The following is a 26544-nucleotide window of genomic DNA, read 5'->3' as shown; positions in this document are numbered from 1 at the left end:
CCAGGAAGTGGGACAGTTATGGGACATCCTCTGCATTTGCCTGCATTGGGTCAGGTTGTTCGTGAATCTGGCAGATAGGCTAGAGAAGGGGAAAAAAACCCAAAAACATATAGGTAAAATAATATAGGCTATTTTTTGTTAAGTCCTGCTGAAGACCAGGCATGGTACCATGGATTTCACAACCATCACAACCCACCTTGAAACAGCATGATAATTATCATCCTCTGGATATTGCAGATGGGAAAATGAGACACAAGGACATTCAGTAAGCTGCCTACAGTTACACATGCAGTAAGGGACAGAGCTTCCGGGTTGAATCCAAGAAGATTCATTGCAGAGCCCATGTCTCCAATGACTATGCAAACCAGGAATGGCAGAATACTCATGGGGAACACAAAGATAAATAATGCCCACCTTAGCCGGGTGCAGTGGTTCATGCCTGTAATCCCAGCACTGTGGGACGCTGAGGTGGGGGGATGGCTTGAGCCCAGGAATTTTTTTTTTTTTTTTTTTTTAGACGGATTCTCGCTCTGTCACCCAGGTTGGAGTGCAGTGGTGCGATCTCGGCTCACTGCAACCTCTGCCTCCCAGGTTCATGCCTCTCAAGTAGCTGGGACTACAGGTGCGTGTCACTGCGCCTGGCTAATTTTTTGTATTTTTAGTAGAGACGGGGTTTCACCGTGTTAGCCAGGATGGTCTCATCTCCTGACCTTGTGATCCGCCCACCTTGGCCTCCGAAAGTGCTGGGATTACAGGCGTGAGGCACTGCACCCGGCCGAGCCCAAGAATTTAAGGCCAGCCTGGGCAATGTGGCAAGACCCCATCTCTACAAAAATTTTTAAAAAGAGCCAGGTGTGGTGGTGCGTGCTGTGGTCTCAGCTACTCAGGGAAGCTGAGGTGGGAGGATCACTTAAGGCCAGGAGGTTGAGGTTGCAGTGAGTCATGTTTGCACCACGGCACTCCAGCCTGGGCAACAGAGCAAGACCCTATCTCGAAATAATAATAGTAATGCCCGTCTTTCGCCCTTCAACAACCCCGAGGCACCTGTAAAGATCCCACAAGTCTCCCAAACACAGCTGAAAATCGTGTGCTAAATCTTCTCCCAGGTTCCTTCCTTAGTGGGGTCTCCAACCTCTGGTTCCTAGATTGCTTTAGTTTGGGGCTGGCTTGGAGGCAAAGGACAATGCCCACCCACCCCTCTCTGCCCACCCGCCCCTTTACTGCAGCTCCACCAGCTTCCACTAAAGCCCCTTCCAGGCCGGATGGAAAGTACTAGTGCGTTTTTATTCTGGGGCATGAGGCCAGCACTGCTGGAGGAAATAAAGGCTCTGAAAGGAAAATACAAGATGTCACTGATGGTTTTGATAAAAGCACAAAGACTTACTCATCTAACCGCGTGTAGTCCATTTCAAAGTAATCATTCCATGAGGCCCCCAACACTTTGGGAAATTCCTGCTGTGGGCCAATCTTTGAGCTAGCAGCTCAGGCTTCTGGCGATCCTGGACAGAGCCAAAGCTCCCTGCCATGATGAGTGAACCTGAGTTTTGGGGACAGCCAGGAGCCACTTGAGTCCAGCATGACAAGTGAGAGGAGCCTCCTCCAGTTGGACAAGTAAGTATCGCTCAGAACATAGCCATGGGGCAGACATTACCCTGTGTGCAGTGCCAGGTGAGGTGGCAGTGGGCGTGACCCAAAGATGACCAGGGGATTCAGGACATTTGCTGTTCAGTGAGGACAAGACCCATCCCGGGGCAGTCTAGGGCAATGTGGTCAACACACGTGTGGCCTCCTGCAGGGTGGGTCTTCCCTCTATAGGAGGCCCTGGGAGAGGGCAAAGAGTAGAGAAAGTGCTGCTACGAGACTCAAAATCAAGTATGTCCAAGAGGTTACCTCCAGCATGTAGAGAGGGGCTTATAAAATCCAGGATTGCTTCCTGAAGGAGGTAGGCTTTGCCCTGGGTTTAAAAGGATAGGTTGGATTTGGACAGAGTTGAAAAGGAAAGGGATTTCAGGTAGAGGGGACGAGCTGGTGGGTGCCATTTTGATTAAAATAAATCAGTCAATAAAACAAACCCTAGCCGAGCACAGTTGTCACAGGAGGTTGAGAGGTACTGCAAAGTCATGTTTAGAGTTCTGACGGAGAAGTGAGACCTGAGCGCATCTAACCTCCACCATTTACTAGCTGTGTGGCCTTGGGCAGGTGGCTTAATCTCCCCAAGTCTCGGTTTCCCCATGTGAAAATTGAAGATAATAATAGTGGCTTTCTCCTGGGAAGTTCTGAGAAGCTGGTGCTTGGTTACCAGCCCATGGTAAGGGCCCAGCCAGTGTCAGTTCTTGAGTCAATGACATCATCTCCTTAAGAGGCTCCTAAAGAGACCAGGAGACTTAGTTCTCAAAAAGGGGTCCCAAGCTACACTATGAGTCATGGAAAACAGGTGAGATGCCACCTGCCCTTCTCCCAACAGGGCTAGTGGGGAGGGGAGGATCCTTGTTGTCCTTGGAAGTCTATCATCACAGCCTTGGCACACCGTCCCTGGGGATGTCCTCCTGCTTCCAATCCATCAACAGATCCTGTGGGTTCTTCTAAAACAATTCTCCCACCCTTGCCCTCCTCTCTGCCTCCAACCCAAAAGCAGCAGCCTCCTGAGGGTTCACCCTGGCCTGGTTTTTCCCCTCACCAATCCTCATCCTCACCACGGCATCCAGAATGATCCCCCCAGGGCAGAGCAGATCATACCTTTCCCCAGCTCAAAAACCTTCCATGGTTCCTACAGCTTGCAGAATCAAACCCCACCCTACCTACCTTTCCAGGCTCCTTTCCAGACCCTTCGGTCACACTGGGCCAACCACCACTTTTGCCTGAAAAGTCCTTTCTCCTTTCTCTGATGGTTAAATCCTAGACATCCTTAAGTTCCGGTGCAGACACCTCCTCCCTAGAGTCCCCCCAGACTCCACTCCTCAGTAGGGACTGTAGCTCACTCATGGCCGTCTTTTTCTATAACTGGGCATGGACTATGCATGAAAGCAGGGGCCCCAGTCTGCAACCACCCAGAAGGACTGTCAGGGACCACCCTCAGGGCTGACATTACTGCTGAAGGAGGCTGTACCCCACAAAATCCCTGGAAGAGAACAGGGTGGGGCTGCAGAAACCTCTACAGAACCTGGCACGGATGCCAGCAGCCCGGATAGAGCCCAGGCGGCTGTGTTGGCACCACTCTGCTGCCGGAGATGAGGGTGAGACAAACAGCAATTAGCCAAGCACAGGCTGGGCTCGCAAGGCTAATTACCAATTAGACGGGGCCGAGCGATTAGCAGCAAGAAAGAGACAGTCAGCAAATAGTCACTGGAGTGGCAAAGCGGAAGGTGGGAGAGGGGGTCATCTCTGTTTCTGCCAACAGGCCTGGCCTCCTGGCAGTTAGTGTAGCTCTGTTCTAGGGGAAAGGGTTTCCAGCAATGCAAGGGACTGGGGAAGGACCCGAGACCCTCTCGGAGGACTTGGGCAGGTTTCGACTTCTTTTTCATTCCCAGAATTATCTTCAGAGTGGGGCTCAGAGTGCTTCTAGGTGGTGCTGGGGTGATGCTGGTGGGAGTTTTGACACACTTGGCCAGGTGAGCTCAGCGGAACCTCAGAACCTCAGAGCAGTTGGAGCCTCCCTGCCAGACGCCCATTGAGATGCATTTGTGTCTGGAGTTTTGCCTGGTGTGGCTGCAGGGAGGGAGGGAGAGGGGCCAATAGCTTCCTTCCTCTCATCTTGGCTCAGCACTTCTTCACTATGTCTCCCCTCTCTCCCTCCCCTCCCCTCCCCCTCCACCTTCCTCTCTTCCCTCCGCTTTTCTCTTTTTCTCCCTCCCTCCAATCCTCCATCCCTCCATCCATCCATCCATCTTCTCTGCCTCTCCATTGCTTACCTCTCTGGCTTTCTGTCTTTATCTCTGGCTCTCTTTGGGTCTCACTCTCCCACCCTCCCTGAATCCCACGTGGACCCCACAGTCCCTGCTTTCACTTAGGGTGGGGTCTCCTTCACCGCAGGCAGAATTGAGACTGTACAGATACAATGAGTTCCTGATCATCAGAGCCAGGCCACTCTGGAGCGAGCTGTTCCTGGGCTGGGAGAGAGTGGAAGGGGGAATGGGCCTCCTCCCGCTTTGGGATGCTTATGAGGGAAACAGTGATATGTGTGAATGATCCTACAAGAAGGCTAGATCAGCCGGGCGCAGTGGCTCACACCTGTAATCCCAGCACTTTGGGAGGCCAAGGCAGGTGGATCACCTGAGGTCAAGAGTTTGAGACCAACCTGGCCAACATGGCGAAACCCTGTTTCTACTACAAATACAAAAAAAGTAGCCGGGCGTGGTGGCAGGCACGTGTAATCCCAGCTACTTGGGTGGCTGAGGTCAGAGAATTGCTAGAACCCTGGGGCGGAGGTTGCAGTGAGCCGAGATTGTGCCACTGCACTCCAACCTGGGCGACAGAGTGAGACTCTGTCTCAAAAAAAGAAGAAGAAGAAGAAGGCTAGATCATAGGACTCTACCTCAGATGGATTCAGGGCCAAAATCAAGTTCAACTCAGAGTCTGGTTACTAGTCTCCACCTGCCATTCACTTCTTACCAGTCTCTGGTCTACTTGGAGCCTGGGGGCCCAGGAACCTCAACCTGCTGAAATGGCAGGACTTCCTGAGTCCAGATGGGCCTTCTCAGGCTGGGCCTGCACAGGGGTGGTGGTGGTGGTGGTGGTGGTGATGACAGGTGCACTGTGTGTCTTTAGGGGGTTGGGCACAAGCAAACCAGTGCAACCTGTCTCAGCCACTACCTACGGGGTCTGTGTTGTAGACCAGACCTTCTGGGGCCCATGGAAATTGGAAGGAAAGGACACCAATCTCCCAGAGATGGGATGACTCATAGAGATAGGGATGGGAGAGGAGAGGGGGTTCAATGAGGGGAGAGATTCAGTGAGGAAAGAGGTGGGAGGTCCATTAGTGAAGAGGTCTCTGAAGGAAGATGAGGGCTCTGATCTGGAAACAAGCTCAGGAATTGCAGACCTGGCTAAAAGACCTGTGTGTGCATCTCTGTTAATCTTGGCAGCTTCCACAACAGGCGCACCGCACAGGAGATCAAAGCACCCTGGGCTCTCATCCCAGTGTGGGTGGGGCTCCAGGGGCTGCCCCTGCCCCCAGGGACAGGTGGCACATCCCTGCTTCCCCCCACTTTTGCTATGTCCGGAGCCCCCCCACCCCGGAAGGTGGAGATCTCCCTGGCTTGCTTGGGGAAGAAAAGAATGGAGCATCTGCCAGCAGGAATGCGGAAAAACAAAGGGAGGGGCCGTCCTGGGGGGAGCACGGGGGAGTGTGTGCTTGGATGAGGAGGGCAGTGTCTGGGCTTATGGTCCTGTGTGTGCACTAGTGTGTGCCTGCCCCTCACCCCCACAGACCACACAGTTCCCCAACTCCCTCCTGCTGTGGTCAGAAGACTGATGACCAGCCCTGTGGTCAACATCTCTGGGCTCTGAACTCACCCCTCAGCTATGCCCCCTGGACAATGGGGTTCTTTCTGCACAAGATGGGCACGAGGGACCCCGTCATGGACTAGTGACCTGAGGGACATGGCAGCCCCAGGGCATGTCCTAGCTTTGGTCACTCTTGTGGACATTGGCTGGCCTTGAGCCAGGGTGGACCAAAAAGAAAGAGACCTCTCCTTTTTGCCTGTCCCAGGAAGGCTTCCTGGAGGAGGCAGTTCAGTGCTCCCCCCAACTCTATTACATGCCAGCCTATGGGTTTTTAGCTGGCATGCATGAGGCCCCTTCAGCACAATCAGGAGATTGAACAGGCACCTGCCGGGAAGCTTACCTGTCTTCCGTGTCAACCCTCAGGTGCCTTGTGAGTAAATACCAAGTGGATGGCTGGGAGTTCAGCTAGAGGAAGAACCAAATCCAGATCTGATGGGAGAGATGCTCCTCTGCCTGCAGGGAACCAGTCTGGGAACAGCCTTTGAGGTTGGGAGGCGGCAGATGAGGAAAGGGCTCTTCCCATCAAGAGAAACTAGAAGGGCTTCCTGGGGGGAAGATCAGGAGGACTGCTCAGGTAGGGATTGTCTGGGCCTGGGGAGATACCTTGTAGGGACTGAATGGAGGGTGAAGGTGCAGGGAAGAGCTTCAGGATGGCCCCAGAACTGGCATCTCTATGCCAGTCTCAGCCCCGCGGTCACACAGAGCAGGAGGAGGAAAGCACACCATCTTAGCCCAGGTTTCTGACTTGAGCCCAAAGCCCTTTCACATCCTCTTCCCCCTTCCCCTGCAACGCACACCCTTGGGCAGCCAGAGATCAGTGGGGGGCAGGAAGTGCCATTCCAGCCGCTCAGCGCCCTCAGCCGGACAGCTGTTCTGCGCAGCTGCTGGGGGCTCTGGGGGCTGCAGCGGATTTGATTTGATTCAGGCCCCAAAATAGCCATTGTAGCAGGAAGCGGCCCCTTCCCCCAAGCACTCCAGGACACTCCATCCGGGGGCTGAGTTGACACCTTAGAAGTTCTGCCCCCTCCCCGTCCCCCTGCACTCACCCCCTGGTCTCCGGAGACCCACTTTTTTTCCCCCTTAGCCTGCAGCCGTTCTCCTTCTTGCGCCTCCCCTCTGTCCTGTGCATTTCCACACTCCCATCCTCCAGGAAGCCTGCCCTGGTCACCCCTGCCCCCACCGCGCCTGTCCCGGCTCTGTGCCCACACACGATCCCAGGTCTCTCCCACCCCAGCCCTGCTCTTTGGGGGCCGTCAGGGGGATGTCTAGGGCTGGGGGCCTGTGGCCAGGCACGGGCGGGCTGCGGAGGGCACACAAAGACGTGGGCTGCCCTGGCCTTTGATGAGTAATCGCTGTTCCCTGGAGCCACGATTCCACTCGGTCGCTTCAGCCCCCCGGCCCCCTCCCCCATCCAGCTCCTCAAATAAGACTCGTTTTTGTTCTGAGGACACAATGCGAGAAAATGTCACCCAGGGGGCGTGCCCCCTGGCCCCAGCCCTGACAACCAGAGCTCTTAATCACCCTGCCTCCTTCCCCTGCAGCGTCCCTCCAGCAGCTGGCCGAGCTGTGGGAGGGGGTAGGAAGAGGGGCAGGGGAACCAGTTACCACCTTCTGGGACTGAGACTTCTTCCAGCTTGAGGTCTTAGATGTTCATTTTCCTCCCTCCCTTCACTTGATTGGCAGCTGGGTGTGCGACCCCTGCACCAGCACCTCACAAAGGCCTGGACCTTGGCGCTGGGTTCTTGGTTCTGTCTCCATCAAAGCCCACCAAGGTCCTCGAAACAGAAGAGGTGGAGGGGAGCCTCAGAAGTGCACCAAAAGCTCTAGAAGGTGGCTGCACCAGAGAACTGCGTCAAAGCTTTGATAAGTGCTATAAGAAAGTGAAAGAGAGTGTAGAGGGTGATGGTGAGGGGCAGGAGGTAGTGTCATCTCTCCAGCCAGGATGCCAGAGATAATCTTTGAGCTTTTCTGAGATGATCTTTGAGCTGAGACCTTGATGGAAAGAGGAGTTGGTTTGCACAGATTCGGGAAGAGAGCCTCCTATGCAAAGGCCCTGTGGCCTGTGGTGGTGTTAAGGATTGGCTTGGTCTGGGGGCAGTGGCTCATGCCTGTAATCTCAGCACTTTGGGAGGCCAAGGCGGGTGGATCACTTAAGGTCAGGAGTTCAAGAGCAGCCTGGACAACATGGTGAAACCCCATCTCTACTAAAAACACAAAATAAGTTGGGCATGGTGGTGCCCACCTGTAATCCCAGTTACTTGGGAGTCTGAGGCAGGAGAATCAAACCTGGGAGGAGGAGGCTTTTTTCTGTCTCAGAGAAAAAAAAAGTGGGGGTTGGGGGCTGGTGGCAGGGATTGGCTTGGAGGGACAAACCCTCCTTCCTCCATTATCTCTCTAAGCATCCCTTCATTTGCCCCAAATAAATAGTCTTTATTGCCCCTCCCCAAATATAGTCTAAGTAAGAAAGATATGCTTGCTATGTAGACCCAGCTTCTAGACAAGTTCCCCGGCTCCCTTTCCAACCAAAGGCTGCCTCTAAACTACTCTCCAGAACAGCTGAAACCTTCACTGTGGAGGCCTTTCCCCCTCTTGATTCCCACATCTCATACACCAGCCAGTCTGGTCTTCTCTTCCTCCAGTACCTACGCCCACCTGCCCATTTTTCTCTCTCTCTACCTCCACTCTTCCACCGAACACCATTCCTCATTCGTGCACTTCAGCAGCCTCTATCTGGTCCCTCAGCTCCACTTTTGTCCTCTATGATTGCAGACAGAGCAATCCTTATAAAATGAAAATCAGATCACGTCACTCCCTTGCTTAAAAGCCTCCAAAGAGTTCTCATTGCTTTGAGAATGAAACGCAAATTCTCCTGTAAGTAAAAGTAGGGAGGATGGAAGGATTCACATAAGATAAATGTTTATGGATTCTCACTGCGTATGAGAGAGGGACCAAAAAATAGTCAGATGACAATGACAACAATATATCATTCTGAGGAGTATGATTGATTGATTAAATCTGTGTACCTGAGATCCAATAAGAGAGAAATCATCCCAATTCTATATTTTTGGTTCCCAAAGCCCTACTTGGTCTGGTCTCCACCCATGTCCCCCATCTCATCTCCTACCATTTTCCCTTTCCCTTGCTCAGTGGGCTCCAGCAGAGAAAAAAGGAAGAGTGCAATTGAGCGTGCCATTTCCCAGACCATTCATGCATACGCATTCATTCATTCATTCAGCACATGTAAGAAATCCCTACCACACATCAAGCATTGGTTAGATGTGGAGGAACAGAGCTAAATAGGGGACTACAGTCTAGTGCAGGAGGCAGACAGATGATAAAGAAATATAAGAGGGGTGATGGAAACCTTGCCTGGGACACTTGGGAAAGGCTGAACAGCCTTGAGCTCAGTCTTCAAGGAGAAGTCCAAGTTCACCAAGCAAAAATCAGGGTCGTAGTTCTTGGCTGAGGGGACAGTGTTTGCAAAGGCAAGAACCCTGAAAGAGCACAGGCAGATCAGAGGGTGGGGAGCAATGTGGTGTGGATGGGCCCAGGAGCATGCTGGGAAATGAGCTTGGACTGGGAAGCAAGGGTCAGACCATGAATGGACTTGGAAGCCTCATTAGGACTTTGGATTTATCTTTAGGCCACGAGGCTACAGCCAAGATTTTAAAGCAGAGATGTGCATAATCAGATTTGTGCTTTAGAAAGAGCTCTCTGGCAGCAGCATAGATAGATGATAGATTGGAGAGAGGACAGACTGGAGTCAGAGAGACCAGCCGGTTCCGGAAAGAAACAATGAAGGCCTGAACTAGGGCAGGGGCAGCGGGAAAGAGGAGAGGTGGGCGCATTCAAGGTAAGCCTGTCTGGACTTTTTGGCCACATGAATATGGAAAGAGAAAGTGCGAGAAGAGAAGGCTTGATATTTACAGCCAGACTTCAGGCTTGGGGGATTGGGAGGGTGCTGGGCCACCGCTGAAATGGACAGCAGCCTGGAGTGGGGGTGGACAGCTAAGCCTTGGGCACATTGGGGTGCAGGTACCCGAGAGACGTGTGGGTGGAGAGATCTGGTTGAGTTGGAAACACAGTCTGTGCTTGGAAATAAAACATGACCTGGAATGAGAGGCCCAGGTGATGCCAAGAGTGTGGATCTTGGCAGAGGTCTCCTGGTTTCCCAGGGACTCTGCCTCTCACACCTGCCAGAGGAATGTCCCTGCATTGGGGGTGAACGTAGGGGCAGGAAGCTCTGTTATGGGACTGGCTGGTGGTGTGCACTTGCAGAAATCAGGAAAGGCTGAGGGTAGAGAGGAAGGGGCAGCACTAGGAATCACTGGACTTCAAAATCCCCATAGTGATGCCTTAGAAAACATCTGGCTTAACAAAGCTTGCATTTTGCGGATGAGAAATGGAGGCTCAGATGGGTAGAATGACTTTACCCAAACTGCCCCCCCGGTTTGCCCACACTCTGGGTTGGCGAGGTGAAGTAAAGATTTGCTTTTGACTTACGCACAATCTGTATTTCCATAGAGCTGGAATCCCACTGCCCACCACCACCATGTGTGACAAAGGAGAGAGCCGGAGCCCAGGTCAAAGGGGAAGAGCTCCAGGGAAGGCTGGGTGACCTGCAGACCGCTCTCCCTTCCCACCTGCTGAATGCTCCCTGTCCCTAGATGGGGTGGGGTGGGGGTGGGGGCCACCCTACAGTCCACTCAAGGACACTGGCTCCTCCTAGCGGACAAAAGGAGCATTACTTTTTGTCCCAGGTCGGCTTGGAAGGGAAGTCCCTGGAGCATAGGACCTCAGTACCCTCTGACCAGTCACCAAATTGGGCCCAGTTCCGGTTCTTCATCCACCAACAGAAACTCCACCTCCCCATGTAGGAGACATTCACTCTGGCCGGAGCTGAGACTTGACCCTAGCAAGATCCCTTCCCAGGCCACAACTGGGGTGCTTCCACAGTGTATGGTGAGGGGTTGGAGGCTCGAGTCCATCCACAGCCCGCCCTGTCCCATCCAAATGCTTCTGGCAAGCCTGAGAGCTCCTTGAGGGCCAGAGTGCTGGCTTCCCCTCTGTTTCCTTAGAGTCTGACACAGTGCCTCTCATGTACTGGGTGCTCCACACCTAGCCCCCGCCTCATCCCTTCTGGCTACAGGTCCCTGCAGACCTGTCTCCTTCCCTGACCCCTCCACCTGACCTCAGAGGACAGAGGGGACTCAGAGCCCTTCCCAGGGCTTTGCAACACTTCCCAGAGCCCATCTGTTTTCTTTTTCCACATGGGCTTTTAGGAGCTGAAAATTTTCGCCTATTGGAAAATCCTGGGGAGGGGAAGGGGTATGATTTTCATGACCTTTCCTCTCTTTTTTCATGTTGAATTAGTTGTAAGTCACCTTGAAAAAAAAATGGTGAGAAAAAAATGGAAAGAAAGGCTGGGCACAGTGGCTCAAGCCTGTAATCCCAGCACTTTGGGAGGCCAAGGCGAGCAGATCACCTAAGGTCAGGAGTTCGAGACCAGCCTGGCCAACATAGTAAAACCCCATCTCTACTGAAAATAAAAAAAAAAAATTTAGCCAGGCGGGGTGGTGCATGCCTGTAATCCCAGCTACTCGGGAGGCTGAGGCACGAGAATTGCTTGAACCTGGGAGGTGGAGGTTGCAGTGAGCCGAAATCACACGACTGCACTCCAGCCTGGGCGACAGAGCAAGACTCTGTCTCCAAAAAAAGGGAAAAAAAGAGTTAGTTGTGTGGCATCCAATTAGAATGAAATGTCTTATCACTCCTGGCTATGACTACATTTCTGAGGATGCAAGAAGAAAAGAGTCCTGTGTGAGGAGGATATCCTGTCCTGGGGATGAGCTTGGATATGCTTATAACAACACCTAGCACTTACATAGCTTGAGGTGTGCTTTTTTTTTTTCATTTTTTTTTTTTTTTCAGACAGAGTCTCGCTTTGTCACCCAGGCTGGAGTGCAGTGGCGCGATCTCGGCTCACTGCAAGCTCTGCCTCCTGGGTTCAGGCCATTCTCCTGCCTCAGCCTCCCGAGTAGCTGGGACTACAGGCGCCCGCCACCATGCCTGGCTAATTTTTTGTATTTTTAGTACAGACAGGGTTTCACCGTGTTAGCCAGGATGGTCTTGATCTTCTGACCTCATGATCCGCCCGCCTCAGCCTCCCAAAGTGTTGGGATTACAGGCGTGAGCCACCGCACCCGGCCTTTTTTTTTTTTTTTTTTTTTGAGATGAGGGTCTCACTATGCTACCCAGGCTGGCCTTGAACTCCTGGGCTCAAGCAATCCTCCCACTTCAGCCTCTGGAGTTGCTGGGATTACAAGTGTGTGCCACTGTGCTTGGCAACCTTGAGGTGCTTTTGTGCACTGCTTTGAAGCATGAGAGCTGTGCTCATTTTGCAGAGTAGGAAACTAAGGCCAAATGTATTGCCCAAGATCACAGAATTGGCAAGAATGATTCTCAAGTTCAGTGGCCTTTCCCTACAACAGAGGTCTCCCTTTACATGATCCGTGACCTTTCAGAAGCCTGTTTGGTTATAACCTCAGGCTTAGTGACCTGGGGAGAATGGATTCACAGGATGGACTCAGATACAAGGTCCATCTTCCCTCCCTTCCTTCTCCATCCCTCCTTCCCTTTCTCTTTTCTTTCCAGTGAAATCTGTGCTCTGTGTGTCAGGCCCTGGACTCTGAAGGCCAGGAGATCCCCTCTAGTCACTTCTGTCTGAGCATTGGCAGTTGCGCTGTGCCAGGCAGGGAACAGCATGAAGCAAGGGAGGAGCCGACGACAAACAGCTGGTCTACCCAGGTCACTGCCCAGGAAGCCCCTGTGGACTTAGCCACAGCTCAGGGCCCTGAGATGACCAGGATGGTGTCTCCCACTCTGTGTGTGCTGGATGACAGTGGAGGGAGTAGTAGAATGGTGTTACCAAAGTCCCTGGAGAGCTGGAGCCATGAAGGAGGGGTGGTCCTAAAGAGGCTGCAGTTGTTACTGCCAAAAACACAGCCCAAAGCAAAGGGAACAAGGAAGAAACATTCCAACTTCCCTCCCAGGCCATTCCCTGCCAGGGCCTCCCATTGGCTAAAAACACCTGGAAGCAGCTGGCAAGTGAGCCAGGTTGATGTAAGCCCCAGGGACTGTCCTTTCTACTCACAGTGCAGGACAGCAAATGCATCTGGGGATTTGCGGTTCCACCAGGAAGAACCAGCACACTCATATATACTTAGTATTCCCAGGGTGTAACACAGTGTCTGATACAGAGTAGGCACTCAAGAAATACTTGTGAAATGAATACATAGAGTAGGGGTAATAACGCCTACCCAATGAGGTGGAATAATAAAATAATAATAATATAACTTAATAATAATAATCTGGAATATCCGCTGAGCGCCAGTGCTCTGCTCAGGAAATCATACACATGATTTTCAAGGGACAAGCATATGCCTACAGAGAAGATGTTCACTAAGCATGTTTATTCCCCTTTCCTCTCCTGAATTTATTCTGTTTTATCAAACAATGCCCGGAGACCATGTACCTTGAGCATAGCATGGCCTAAAATATAATGGACTCAAAGATAAATTGACGTGGTCCTGGCCTCCAGGAGTTTGGGGAGTGGACAAACAAGCTGAGATACAAGTGACCTAGTGCTAAGGCAGTCACCTGGTGTGTGGGGAAGGCACGGCACTTCCAAATTTCACTGCAATAAAGAAAACAGGTGAGAAGAGAATGAGCAGGAAACAGACTCTGGGCATCCCCATTAGCGGGGATCTGAGAGCCACTGTGGAGGAAGGCCAGGTTACTAAGGGAAGGCAGCATCAGGAAGGGAAGAGACTCGAGCCCACACTCATTCCAGAGACCAGCCGACCAGCCTGCCCCTGCCTCCCTTCCTTCTTTACCTCCATCACCATGAGAAGTCCAAGCCTGGGTGGTCAGCCAGCACCATGCTGCCTCTCATGCCTCACACTGCTCTGCATGTCTCCAACCCCATTCAATCCCCTATTCCTCCCTGCCCTACCACAGTCCCCCCAGCTCGTCCACAGGCCCTCTGGAGCTCCTGGTCTATGACTGGCAAATTCTCTTCTGTTTTCACCTCTGCCCAGGACACCGTCCCGCTTCCGGGCAGCCTCTTCTACAGTCTTCTCAACTGGGGCTTAGAGAGGAGTAAGAGTCAGCTCGGCGAGGTGGCTCACGTCTGTAATCCCAGCACTTTGGGCAGGTGGAGGTGGGAGGATCACCTGAGGTCAGGAGTTCGAGACCAGCCTGGCCAACATGGACAACATGGTGAAACCCTGTCTCCCCTAAAAATACAAAAATTAGCCAGGCATGGTGACAATCAATCACCTTACCCCTTACCCTAGGCAACCACCAATCTGCTTTCTGACACTATAGATTAGACTGGTCTTTTCTGGAGCTTTATATAAACAGAATCATTATAATCTACACCATTTTGAGTCTGGCTTTTTTCACTCATCATAATTTGAGATTCATGTTGCTGATTGTAGCAGTAATTCCTGTTCATTGCTCAATAGTATTTCGTTGCATACCACTGATTTCCATCTATTCATTTTTTGATAGACATTTGAGTTGTTTCGAGTTTGGGGTTATTATGAAGAAAGCTGATACAGGCCAGGCATGATGGCTCATGTCTATAACCCCAGCACTTCGGGAGGCCAAGGCAGGAGGATCACTTGAGCCCAGGAGTTCATGACCAGCTTGGGCAATATAGTGAGACCCCATCTCTAAAAAAAAAATTTTAAATTAGCTGGACACAGTGGTGCATGCCTGAAGTCCCAGCTACTTGGGAGGCTGAAGTGGGAGAATCACTTAGGCCCAGGAGTTCCAGGCTGCAGTGAGCAGTGATCATGCCACTGCACTCCAGCCTGGGCCACAGAGAGAGTACAAGTCTTGTATGGACATTAGTTTTTGAATAAATATCTAGGAATGAAATTGCTGAGTTGTATAGTAAATATATGTTTAATTTCATAAGAAACTGGCAATAGTTTTTTTGAAGTGGTTGTGCCATTTTACACTCCCATCAGCAATGTTCCAGTTACTCTACATCCTCACCAATAGTTGGTACTGTCAAAATTTTTGTCATTTTAGTGGATGTGTAATAGTAATCTCATTATGGTTTCAATCTGCATTTTTTTTTTTTTTTTTTTTTGAGACGGAGTCTTGCTCTGTCGCCCAGGCTGGAGTGCAATGGTGCCATCTCGGCTCACTGCAAGCTCCGCCTCCCGGGTTCACGCCATTCTCCTGCCTCAGCCTCCCAAGTAGCTGGGACTACAGGTGCCCGCCACCACACCCCGCTAATTTTTTGTATTTTTAGTAGAGACGGGGTTTCACCGTATTAGCCAGGATGGTCTTGATCTGCTGACCTTGTGATCCGCCTGCCTCGGCCTCCCAAAGTGCTGAGATTACAGGTGTGAGCCACCATGCCCAGCCTGCATTTTCTTGATGACTAATGATGTCGGGCATCTTCTCATGTGTTTGTTAGCCATTCCTATACCATTCCTATATCTTCTTTGATGAACTGTCTGTTCAAATATTTTGTCTATTTTTAAAACATTTTAAAAATTGAGTTTGTATTATTGTTACTAAGTAGTTCTCAAGAGTTCTTTATGTGTACTGAATGCAGGTCTTTTGTCATATAAACATATTGGGCATATTTTCTCCCCGTTTGTGGCTTTTTTTCCTTTACAATGTGTTTCAACGCAGAAGTTTTAATTTTAATGAAGTCTAATTTATCAATGTTAAAAATTTTATGATTTGTGCTTTTAATTTTTTAAATTTTTTAAATTTTTTTGAGACAGAGTCTTGCTCTGTTGCCCAGGCTGGAGTACAGTGGCGCAATCTCAACTCACTGCAACCTCTGCCTCCCGAGTTCAACAATTCTCCTGCCTCAGCCTCCTGAGTAGCTGGGATTACAGGCGTGTGCCACCACACCCTGCTAATTTTTATTTTTAGTAGAGATGGGGTTTTGCCATATTGGCCAGGCTGGTCTCGAACTCCTGACCTCAGGTGATCCACCCACCTCAGCCTCCCAAAGTGCTGGGATTATAGGGGTGTGCCACCATGCCTGGCTAATTTTTTTATTGTTTGTAGAGACAGGGTTTCACCATGTTGGCCAGGCTGGGAGAACCATTTTTAAAAAAGACTACCCATTAACCATTGGATAACATTGTCATTTTTGTCAAAAATCAGTTGACCATACATGTGTGGGTTTATTTCTGAATTCTCTGTTCTGTTGGATTGAGAACCAATACCATACTTTCTAGGTTACTGTAGCTTTACAGATGGATGTACACGATATCCTTCAGATACCCTAAAGCCTCCAACACTGCTGTCTTTTTCAAAATTGTTTTGCCAATTCTAGGTCCTTTGCAATTCCATATAAATTTTAGAATTAGCTTGTCAGTTTCTACAAAAAACTTTCTGGAGTTTCATATGGCATTGCTTTAAATCCATAAATCATTTTGGAGAGAACTGACATTTTAACAACACTGAAATTTTTCATCAGTGAATAAGGTGCATCTTTCCATTTACTTAGGTCTTTTTAAATTTCTCAGCAATATTCATAGTTTTTATCATACAGTTGTAATTAAATTTTTCCTAAATATCACATTTTGATGCTATTATAAGTGGTATTTAAAACATTTCAGGCCAGGCTGGGCGCAGTGGCTCACGCCTGTAATCCCAGCACTTTGGGAGTCCGAGGCGGGCAGACTGCGAGGTCAGCAGATCGAGACCATCCTGGCTAACGCGGTGAAACCCCGTCTCCACTAAAAATACAAAAAATTAGCCGGGCGTGGTGGTGGGTGCCTGTAGTCCCAGCTACTCGGGAGGCTGAGGCAGGAGAATGGCATGAACCTGGGAGGCGGAGCTTGCAGTGAGCTGAGATCGGGCCACTGCACTCCAGCCTGGGTGACTGAGCGAGACTCTGTCTCAAAAAAAAATAAAAAATAAAATAAAATAAAATAAAACATTTCAGGCTGGGTGCAGTGGCTCATGCCTGTAATCCCAACACTTTGGGGGGCCAAGGCGGGTGGATCACTTGAGACCAGGAGCTCGAGATCAGCCTGGCCAACATGGAGAAACTCCGTCTCTACTAAAAATACAAAAATCAGCCAGACATGGTGGTGCACACCTGTAATCCCAGCTACTAGGGAGGCTGAGGCATGAGAATTGCTTGAACCTGGGAGGTGGAGGGAGGTTGCAGTGAGCAGAGATGGCGCCACTGTATTCCAGCCTGGGCGACAGAGTGAGACTCTGCCAAAAAAAAAAAAAAAAAATGCAATGTCCAGATGTTTGTTGCTGGTTTTTGTATGTTGACCTTATGTCCTGCATCCCTTCTAAACTCACTTACTAGTTCTAATAGCTTTTTCTATATTCTTTAGGATTTTCTATATACACACAGTCCATCTGCCAATAAGGGCAGTTTAACTTCTTTTCCAATCTACATGACTTCTATATATTTTTGTAGCCTACTGTAGGCTATTGTACTGGCTAGGACAATGTTGAATAGAAGTGATAACAGGCTTGGCACGGTTGCTCCCTCCTGTAATCCCAGAACTTTGGGAGGCCGAGGCGGGTGGATCATCTGAGGCCAGCAGTTGGTGACCAGCCTGGCCAACATGGTGAAACCCCGTTTCTACTAAGATTACCAAAAAAAAAAAAAAAAGTTAGCCAGGTGTGGTGGCACATGCCTGTAGTCCCAGCTACTCAGGGGGCTGGGGCTGGAGAATCACTTGAACCCAGGAGGCGGAGGTTGCAGTGAGCCGAGATTGCGCCATTGCACTCCAGCCTGGGCAACAGAGCGAAATTCTGTCTCAAAAAAAAAAGTGATAACAGTACCTTCTTTACTTTATTCTTGATTTTAGGAGGAAATGTTCCATCTTTCATCTCTTCCTTTTTGTCTTAATAGCATCTTGTTCTACTCTCATGTATGGTAGTTATCTTTCCTTTTACCTGAAGATATCAATGATAGGGTAAATTTGTTTAGATTTCCTATGCTCCTTACCTTGTCTCTGATTCAGCCAAGTTTTTGTTTTGTTTTGTTTTGTTTTGTTTTTGTTTTGTTTTGTTTGTGTGTGTGTGTGTGTGTTTTAAAATGGAGTCTTGCTGTATCCCCCAGGCTGGAGTGCAGTGGCGCGACCTCAGCTCACGGCAACCTCCGCCTCCTGGGTTCAAGTGATTCTCCTGCCTCAGCCTCCTGAGTAGCTGGGATTACAGGTGCGCTTCACCACGCCCAGCTAATTTTTGTATTTTTAGTAGAGATGGGGTTTCACCATGTTGGTCAGTCTGGCCTCAAACTCCTGACCTTGTGATCTTCCCGCCTCAGCCTCCCAAAATGCTGGGATTACAGGCGTGAGCTACCACACCCAGCCTTTTGTTTTGTTTTTGTTTTGCTTAGTTTATTTTTGTTTGTTTTGGTTTTCTCTTTCATGTTATGGCTTTTCTCAAATGGACTTAAATCATGTGTGTCTGATTATTTATAAATAAGAGAAGCACTGCAGATGGCTGGTTAGTCCTCAGATCCTTTCTTCTTGTATATTGGCTGCCTGGCTAAAGACTACATTTTTCAATCCTTCTTTGTGACTACATCAGGTCATGTAACCAAGTTTTCAACAATGGAATGGAGTGGAAAGTGTATGTGCTGCTTCTGCCTCATTTGCTTGAAACAAAATTGCTGCCCTGAATTTCCTCTACTTTCCCTTTCCTGCAAGCTAGAACAGACATCCCATGCTTAGATGAAGATAATCTTTTAGGGGATGGTAAACCAACAATAGAAAAGGAAACTGGGTCTGTGAACAACAAGTGGAGCAAAAAGAAATTAACTTGCATCTTCTCTAGGCCACTGTATTCTGGGGTCTCCTTGGAACAGCAACTTAAACTTCAATATCCCAACTAATACAAGCACTGAAAAACTCATTGGAAGCTTAGGTGGATGAGTGTGTGAATGTTATGCAGAGGTGGGTTTTACTCTAAGGAAGTTCTCCAGGTGTAATCCACATAACCCTGCCAGTCCTTGAGATCCTTTCAGTGGGTACTTGAAGGCAAAATTATTTTTGTGATGATACTAAGTCATTATTTATTCTTTACACTTTCATTCTCTCCTGACTGCCCAGTAGAGTTTTTCAGAGGCTGTTATCACTTATGATAGCAAAACAAATTGAATGAAGAATCCAAGATCGGCAAAAATGTCAAATGATGTCACTCTTCTCACTAAATAGTTTTGTTTGGGAAACTATCATTATATTTTGTAATAATATGTAAACACGTAATGGGTTTCTTACTGTTATTCTTTCTTTTTCTTTTAGATAGTCTTGCTCTGTTGCCCAGGCTGGAGTGCAGTGGCACAATCACAGCTCACTGCAACCTCAACCCCCTCATGCTCAAGCAATCCTCCCACCTCAGCTTCCCAAGTAGCTGGGACAGGTGTGCCACCATACCTGGCTAATTTATTTTTTGTAGAGACAGCGTCTTTCTATGTTGCCTAGGCTGGTCACAAACTCCTGGAGTCAAGTGATTCTCCTGCTTCGGCCTCCCAAAGTGCTTACAGGATTACAGGTGTGAGCCACTGTGCCCAACCCGTTATTCTTAAATGGGTAAGTGGGTAATATTTAATTTTTTGTTTTAATTTGAAAAATATATAATTCATATTCTAAGGCTCTTTGCAGTACTTAACAGCTTTAAAAAATATGAAGGCATCCTAAGATCAAAAAGTTTAAATATCTGTCATGTTTGCTGCTGCTGCCAACCACCCATGCATACCATCCAGGGGCCTTAGAACAGGCCCACCCTGCCCAGTACCATGCTGTTTTGGTTACTATAGCTCTGTAGTATAATTTGAAGCCAGGTAATGTGATTCCTCCAGTTTTGTTCTTTTTGCTCAGGATAGCTTTGAATATTCTGGGTCTTCTGTGGTTCCATATAAACTTTAGGATTTTTTTTTCTATTTCTGTGAAGAATGCCATTGATACTTTGATAGGGATTACATTGAATCTGTAGATTGCTTTGGTTAGTATAGGCATTTTAACAATATTGATTCTTCCAATGCATGAACATGGAATAGCTTTCCATTTTTTTGTGTCCTCTTCAGTTTCTTTCACCAATGTTTTATAGTTTTCATTGTAGAGATCTTTCACTTCTTTGGTTACGGTAATTCCTAGCTATTTAATTTTTGGCCAGGCGCAGTGGCTCATACCTATAATTCCAGAACTTTGAGAGGCCTAGGAGGGGGGATTGCTTGGCTCAGGAATTCAAGACCAGCCTGGGCAACATGGTGAAACCTTGTCTCTACGAAAAGTACAAAAATTAGCTGGGCATGGTGGTGTGCACCAGTGGTCCCAGCTACTCAGGAGGCTGAGGCGAGAGGATCAGTTGAACTCTGGAGGTTGAGGATGCAGTGAGCCAAGATCACGCCACTGCACTCCAGCCTGGGTGACAGAGCAAGACCCTGTCTCAAAAATAAAAATAAAAATACACAAATTTCTTTGCGGCTAGTGTAAAATTGCTTTCTTGATTTCTTTTTCAGATTGTTTGCTATTGATATATAGAAATGCTACTGAGTTTTGTAGGTTGATTTTGTATCCTGCAACTTCACCGAATTTGTTTGTTAGTTCTAATAGCTTTTGGTTTTGGGTGGTCTTTTGAAATAACCCAGTCAGACCAAAACTAAAAAAAAGAAGAAGAAGAAGAAAAAGAAAGACATGGGACACCATAAGGCAACCAAATATTAAAACTGGGGCATTCCAGAAGGCAAAGAGAGAGGCAAAGTCATAGAAAACCTATTTAACAAAATAATAGCTGGAACATTCCCCCAAGTCTTACAAAAGATATAGACATCCAGATATAAGAAGCTCAAAGATCCTCAAATAGATTCCACCCAAAAGGTCTTCTCCAAGGCACATTACAGTCAAAAGTTAAAGACAGAGAATTCTACAAACAGCAAGAGCAGGCCAGGCATGGTAAGTCATACCTATAATCCCAGCACTGTGGGAGGCCAAGGAAGGGGGATCCCTTGAGCTCAAGAGTTTAAGACCGAGATCGATCTAAGATGGCGACCGTCGAACCGGAAACCACCCCTACTCCTAATCCCCCGACTACAGAAAAGGAGAAAACGGAATCTAATCAGGAGGTTGCTAACCCAGAACACTATATTAAACATCCCCTACAGAACAGATGGGCACTCTGGTTTTTTAAAAATGATAAAAGCAAAACTTGGCAAGCAAACTTGTGGCTGATCTCCAAGTTTGATACTGTTGAAGACTTTTGGGCTCTGTACAACCATATCCAGTTGTCTAGTAATTTAATGCCTGGCTGTGACTACTCACTTTTTAAGGATGGTATTGAGCCTATGTGGGAAGATGAGAAAAACAAACGGGGAGGACGATGGCTAATTACATTGAACAAACAGCAGAGACGAAGTGACCTCGATCGCTTTTGGCTAGAGACACTTCTGTGCCTTATTGGAGAATCTTTTGATGACTACAGTGATGATGTATGTGGCGCTGTTGTTAATGTTAGAGCTAAAGGTGATAAGATAGCAATATGGACTACTGAATGTGAAAACAGAGAAGCTGTTACACATATAGGGAGGGTATACAAGGAAAGGTTAGGACTTCCTCCAAAGATAGTGATTGGTTATCAGTCCCACGCAGACACAGCTACTAAGAGCGGCTCCACCACTAAAAATAGGTTTGTTGTTTAAGAAGACACCTTCTGAGTATTCTCATAGGAGACTGCGTCAAGCAATCGAGATTTGGGAGCTGAACCAAAGCCTCTTCAAAAAGCAGAGTGGACTGCATTTAAATTTGATTTCCATCTAAATGTTACTCAGATATAAGAGAAGTCTCATTCGCCTTTGTCTTGTACTTCTGTGTTCTTTTTTTTTTTTTTTTTTTTTTTTTTTTGGCTAGAGTTTACACTATCCCAATCAAAGAATTACAGTACACATCTCCAGAATCCATAAATGTGTTCCTGGCCCACTCTGTAATAGTTCAGTAGAATTACCATTAATTACATACAGATTTTACCTATCCACAATAGTCAGAAAACAACTTGGCATTTCTATACTTTACAGGAAAAAAAATTCTGTTGTTCCATTTTATGCAGAAGCATATTTTGCTGGTTTGAAAGATTATGATGCATACAGTTTTCTAGCAATTTTCTTTGTTTCTTTTTACAGCATTGTCTTTGCTGTACTCTTGCTGATGGCTGCTAGATTTTAATTTATTTGTTTCCCTACTTGATAATATTAGTGATTCTGATTTCAGTTTTTCATTTGTTTTGCTTTTGTTTTTTTCCTCATGTAACATTGGTGAAGGATCCAGGAATATGACACAAAGGTGGAATAAACATTAATTTTGTGCATTCTTTGGTAATTTTTTTTGTTTTTTGTAACTACAAAGCTTTGCTACAAATTTATGCATTTCATTCAAATCAGTGATCTATGTTTGTGTGATTTCCTAAACATAATTGTGGATTATAAAAAATGTAACATCATAATTACATTCCTAACTAGAATTAGTATGTCTGTTTTTGTATCTTTATGCTGTATTTTAACACTTTGTATTACTTAGGTTATTTTGCTTTGGTTAAAAATGGCTCAAGTAGAAAAGCAGTCCCATTCATATTAAAACAGTGTACAAAACTGTAAATAAAATGTGTACAGTGAATTGTCTTTAAAAAAAAAAAAGAGTTTAAGACCAGCTTGGGCAACACAGTCAGACTTCATCTCTATAAATAATTTAAAAATTAGCCAAGCATGGTGGCGTGTACCTGTGGTTCCAGCTATTTGGGAAGTTGAGGTAAAAGAATCTCTTGAGCCCAGGTAGTCAAGGTTGCAGTGAGCCATAATCAAACCACTGCACTCCAGCATGGGCAACAGAGCAAGACCCCATCTCAAATATATATATTTAGCAAGAGAAAAGCATCAAGTCACATAAAACGAAATCCCCACCAGGCTAACAGATTTCTCAGCAGAAATTTAGCAAGCCAGGAGAGAATGGAATGATATATTCAAAGTGCTGAAAGTGGGGGAGGGAGGAACTTCCAGTCAAGAATACTACTATACCCAGCAAAACTATCCTTCAAAAATAAAGGAGAAATAGTCTTTCCCAGACAAGCAAAAACTGGGAGAATTAATTACCTCTAGACAGGTCCTACAATAAATTCTTAATGGAGTCCTACATCTGGAAGCAAGAAAACAATATCTACCATCATCAAAATACATGCAACTATAAAACTTGCTAGTAGAGCAGATACCTGAATGAGAATGAGAAAGGAGTCAAACATTACCACTACAGAAAACCACCAAACTGCAATGATAAACAATAAGAGAGAAAGAAAGGAACAACAGATACACAAAACAACCAGAAAATAACAAACAAAAATGACAGGAATAAGTCCTCAGGTCCTTACCTATCAATAATAACCTTGAATGTAAACAGACTAAATTCCCCACTTAAAAGACATAGTCTGGCTGAATGGATTTTTTTTTTCTTCTTTTTGAGACAGAGTCTCGCTCTGTCACCCAGGCTGGAGTGCAATGGCACAATCTTGGCTCACTGCAAGCTCCGCCTCCTGGGTTCATGCCATTCTCCTGCCTCAGCCTCCCGAGTAGCTGGGATTACAGGTGGCTGCCACCATGCCCAACTAATTTTGTATTTTTAGTAGAGACCAGGTTTCTCCATGTTGGACAGGCTGGTCTTGAACTCCTGACCTCAGGTGATCTGCCCGCCTCGGCCTCCCAAAGTGCTGGGATTACAGGCGTGAGCCACCATGTCCGGCCTGGATATTTTTTTTAATGATACAACTATATGCTGCCTATAAAAATACTAACTTCACCTGTAAAGACATATTTAGAGTGAAAGTAAAGGGATGAGAAAAGATATTCCATGCAAGTGGAAAACAAAAGCAAGCAGAAATAGCTATAATTATATCACATAAAACAGGCTTTAAGTCAGAAACACTGAAAAAAAAAGGACAAAGAAGGTCATTATATAACCATTAAAGGATCAATTCAGCAAGAGGATATAACAATTCTAAATATATATACAACCAACATTGGAGCATCCAGGTATATAAAGTAAATATGATTTGATCTAAAGGAAGAGATAGGCCAGGCACAGTGGCACACGCCTGTAATCCCAGCACTTTCGGAGGCTGAGGTGGGAGGATCACTTGAGCCCAGGAGTTCAAGACCAGCCTGGGCAACATGGCAAGACCCCATCTCTACAAAAGTACAAAAAATTAGCCAGGCATGATGGCATGCATCTATAGTCCCAGCTACTGGGGAGGCTGAGGTGGGAGGATTGCCTGAGTCTGAGAAGTCAAGGCTGTGGTGAGCTGAGATCGTGCCACTGCACTCTGGCCTGGGTGACAGAGTGAGACCCTGTCTCCTAAATAAATAAATAAATAAAGAGATAGACTCCAATATAGTAATAGTTGGGGACTTCAACACCCCACTCTTAGCAATGGATAGATTATCTAGACAGAAATCAACAAAGAAACACTGGACTTAAACTATACTCCAGACCAAATGGACCTAACATTTACCCAACATTTCATCTAACAGCTGCAGAATATATAATCTTCTCATCAGCACATGGAACATTCTCCAGAATAGACCATATGTTAGGACACAAAGCAAGTCTTAGAAATTTTTAAAAAATCAAAATCATATCAAGTATCTTCTCAATAAAAGGAGAAACTTTGGAAACTGTAAAAACACATGGAAATTAAACAACATACTTTTTTTTTTTTTTTTTTTTTTTTTTTGAGATGGAGTTTCCTTCTTGTTGCCCAGGCTGGAGTGCGATGGTGTGATCTCAGCTCACCACAACATCTGCCTCCAGGATTCAAGCCATTCTCCTGCCTCACCCTCCCGAGTAGCTGGGATTACAGGCATGCACCACCATGCCCGGCTAATTTTGTGTTTTTAGTAAAGACAGGGTTTCTCCATGTTGGTCAGGCTGGACTTGAACTCCCAACCTCAGGTGATCCACCAGCCTTGGCCTCCCAAAGTGCTGGGATTACAGGCATGAACCAGCATGCCTGGCCCATTTTTTATTTAATTAATTAATTAATTTATTTATTTATTGACAGAGTCTCACTCTGTTGCCCAAGCTGGAATAGTGGTGCAATCTCGGCTCACTGCAATCTCCACCTCCTGGGTTCAAGTGATTCTCCTGCCTCAGCCTCCCCAGTAGCTGGGATTACAGGTGTGCACCACCACAACTGGCTAATTTTTGTATTTTTAATAGAGTGGGGTTTCGCCACATTGGCCAGGCTGTCCTTGAACTCCTGACCTCAAGTGATCCACCCATGTCAGCCTCCCAAACTGCTGGGATTATAGGCATGAGCCATCGCGCCTGGCCAACAACATACTCTTAAATGACCATTGGGTCAATGAACAAATTAAGAAGGATATCAAAAAATGTCTTGCTTGCTTGCTTGCTTGCTTGCTTGCTTGCTTCCTTCCTTCCTTCCTTCCTTCCTTTTCTTCCTTTCCTTCTCTCTTTCTCTCTTTCTTTCTTTTGACGGTCTCCCTCTGTTGCCGAGGCTGGACTGTACTGCCGTGATCTCGGCTCGCTGCAACCTCCCTGCCTCGGGCTCCCGTGATTCTCCTGCCTCGGCCTGCCGAGTGCCTGGGATTGCAGGCACGCACCCCCACGCCTGACTGGTTTTTGTATTTTTGGTGGAGACGGGGTTTCGCCCTGTTGGCCGGGCTGGTCTCCAGCTCCTGACCTTGAGTGATCTGCCCGCCTCGGCCTCCCGAGGTGCTGGGATTGCAGACGGAGTCTTGCTCACTCAATGCTCAATGTTGCCCAGGCTGGAGTGCAATGGCGTGATCTCGGCTCGCTACAACCTTCACCTCCCAGCCACCTGCCTTGGCCTCCCAAAGTGCTAAGGTTACAGCCTCTGCCCGGCCACCACCCCGTCTAGGAAGCGAGGAGCCTCTCTGCCTGGCTGCCCATCGTCTGGGATGTGAGGAGCCCCTCTGCCTGGCCGCCCCATCTGGGAAGTGAGGAGCGCCTCTGCCCGGCTGGCCCGCCTGGGAGGTGAGGAGCACCTCTGCCTGGCCGCCCGTCGTCTGGGAAGTGAGGAGAGCCTCTGCCCGGCCGCCCCATCTGGGATGTGAGGAGCGCCTCTGCCCGGCCGCCACCCCATCTGGGAAGTGGGGAGCGCCTCTGCCCGGCCGCCCCGTCTGGGATGTGAGGAGTGCCTCTGCCCGGCCGCAACCCCATCTGGGAAGTGGGGAGCGCCTCTGCCCAGCCGCCCCATCTGGGAGGTGAGGAGCGCCTCTGCCCGGCCGCCCCATCTGGGATGTGAGGAGCGCCTCTGCCCGGCCACCACCCCATCTGGGAAGTGGGGAGCGCCTCTGCCTGGCCACCCCATCTGGGATGTGAGGAGCACCTCTGCCCGGCCACCCTTCGTCTGGGAAGTGAGGAGCGCCTCTGCCCGGCCACCCCATCTGGGAAGTGAGGAGCGCCTCTGCCCGGCCGCCCCATCTGGGAAATGAGGAGCGCCTCTGCCCGGCTGCCCTGTCTGGGAAGTGAGAAGCGCCTCTGCCTGGCCGCTGTGCAATCTTCCAAGTGTGAAGTGACAGCCTTTCTGCAGGTGTACCCAACAGCTCCGAATAGACAGCGACCATCGAGAACGGGCCATGATGACGATGGCAGTTTTGTCAAAAAGAAAAGGGGGAAATGTGGGGAAAAGAAAGAGAGATAAGATTGTTACTGTGTCTGTGTAGAAAGAAGTAGACATAGACTCCATTTTGTTCTGTACTAAGAAAAATTCTTCTGCCTTGGGATGCTGTTAATCTATAACCTTACCCCCAACCCCGTGCTCTCTGAAACATGTGCTGTGTCAACTCAGGGTTAAATGGATTAAGGGCAGTGCAAGATGTGCTTTGTTAAACAGATGCTTGAAGGCAGCATGCTCGTTAAGAGTCATCACCACTGCCTAATCTCAAGTACCCAGGGACACAAACACTGCGGAAGGCCGGAAGGCCACGGGGACTTCTGCCTAGGAAAA

The 26544-nt window shown here is 48.1% G+C and overlaps 1 pseudogene, besides 1 other annotated feature; it reads left to right on the top strand.

The window, feature by feature from the left end:
• Positions 6458–6517: an enhancer, noted in NCBI's record as "active region_12362". NCBI's record gives its function as "activates an Ori minimal core promoter by ATAC-STARR-seq in GM12878 lymphoblastoid cells {active_cell/tissue: GM12878}" and the evidence as "EXISTENCE:reporter gene assay evidence [ECO:0000049][PMID:35858748]".
• EIF4EP2 (eukaryotic translation initiation factor 4E pseudogene 2) lies at positions 20578–22196 on the top strand (annotated as a pseudogene).

Source organism: Homo sapiens, chromosome 17, assembly GCF_000001405.40.
Source record: "Homo sapiens chromosome 17, GRCh38.p14 Primary Assembly".
Classification (NCBI taxonomy): Eukaryota; Metazoa; Chordata; class Mammalia; order Primates; family Hominidae; genus Homo; species Homo sapiens.
The sequence above is the reverse complement of the archived record's forward strand: the minus strand, read 5'-3'. Positions and strand labels throughout refer to the sequence as shown.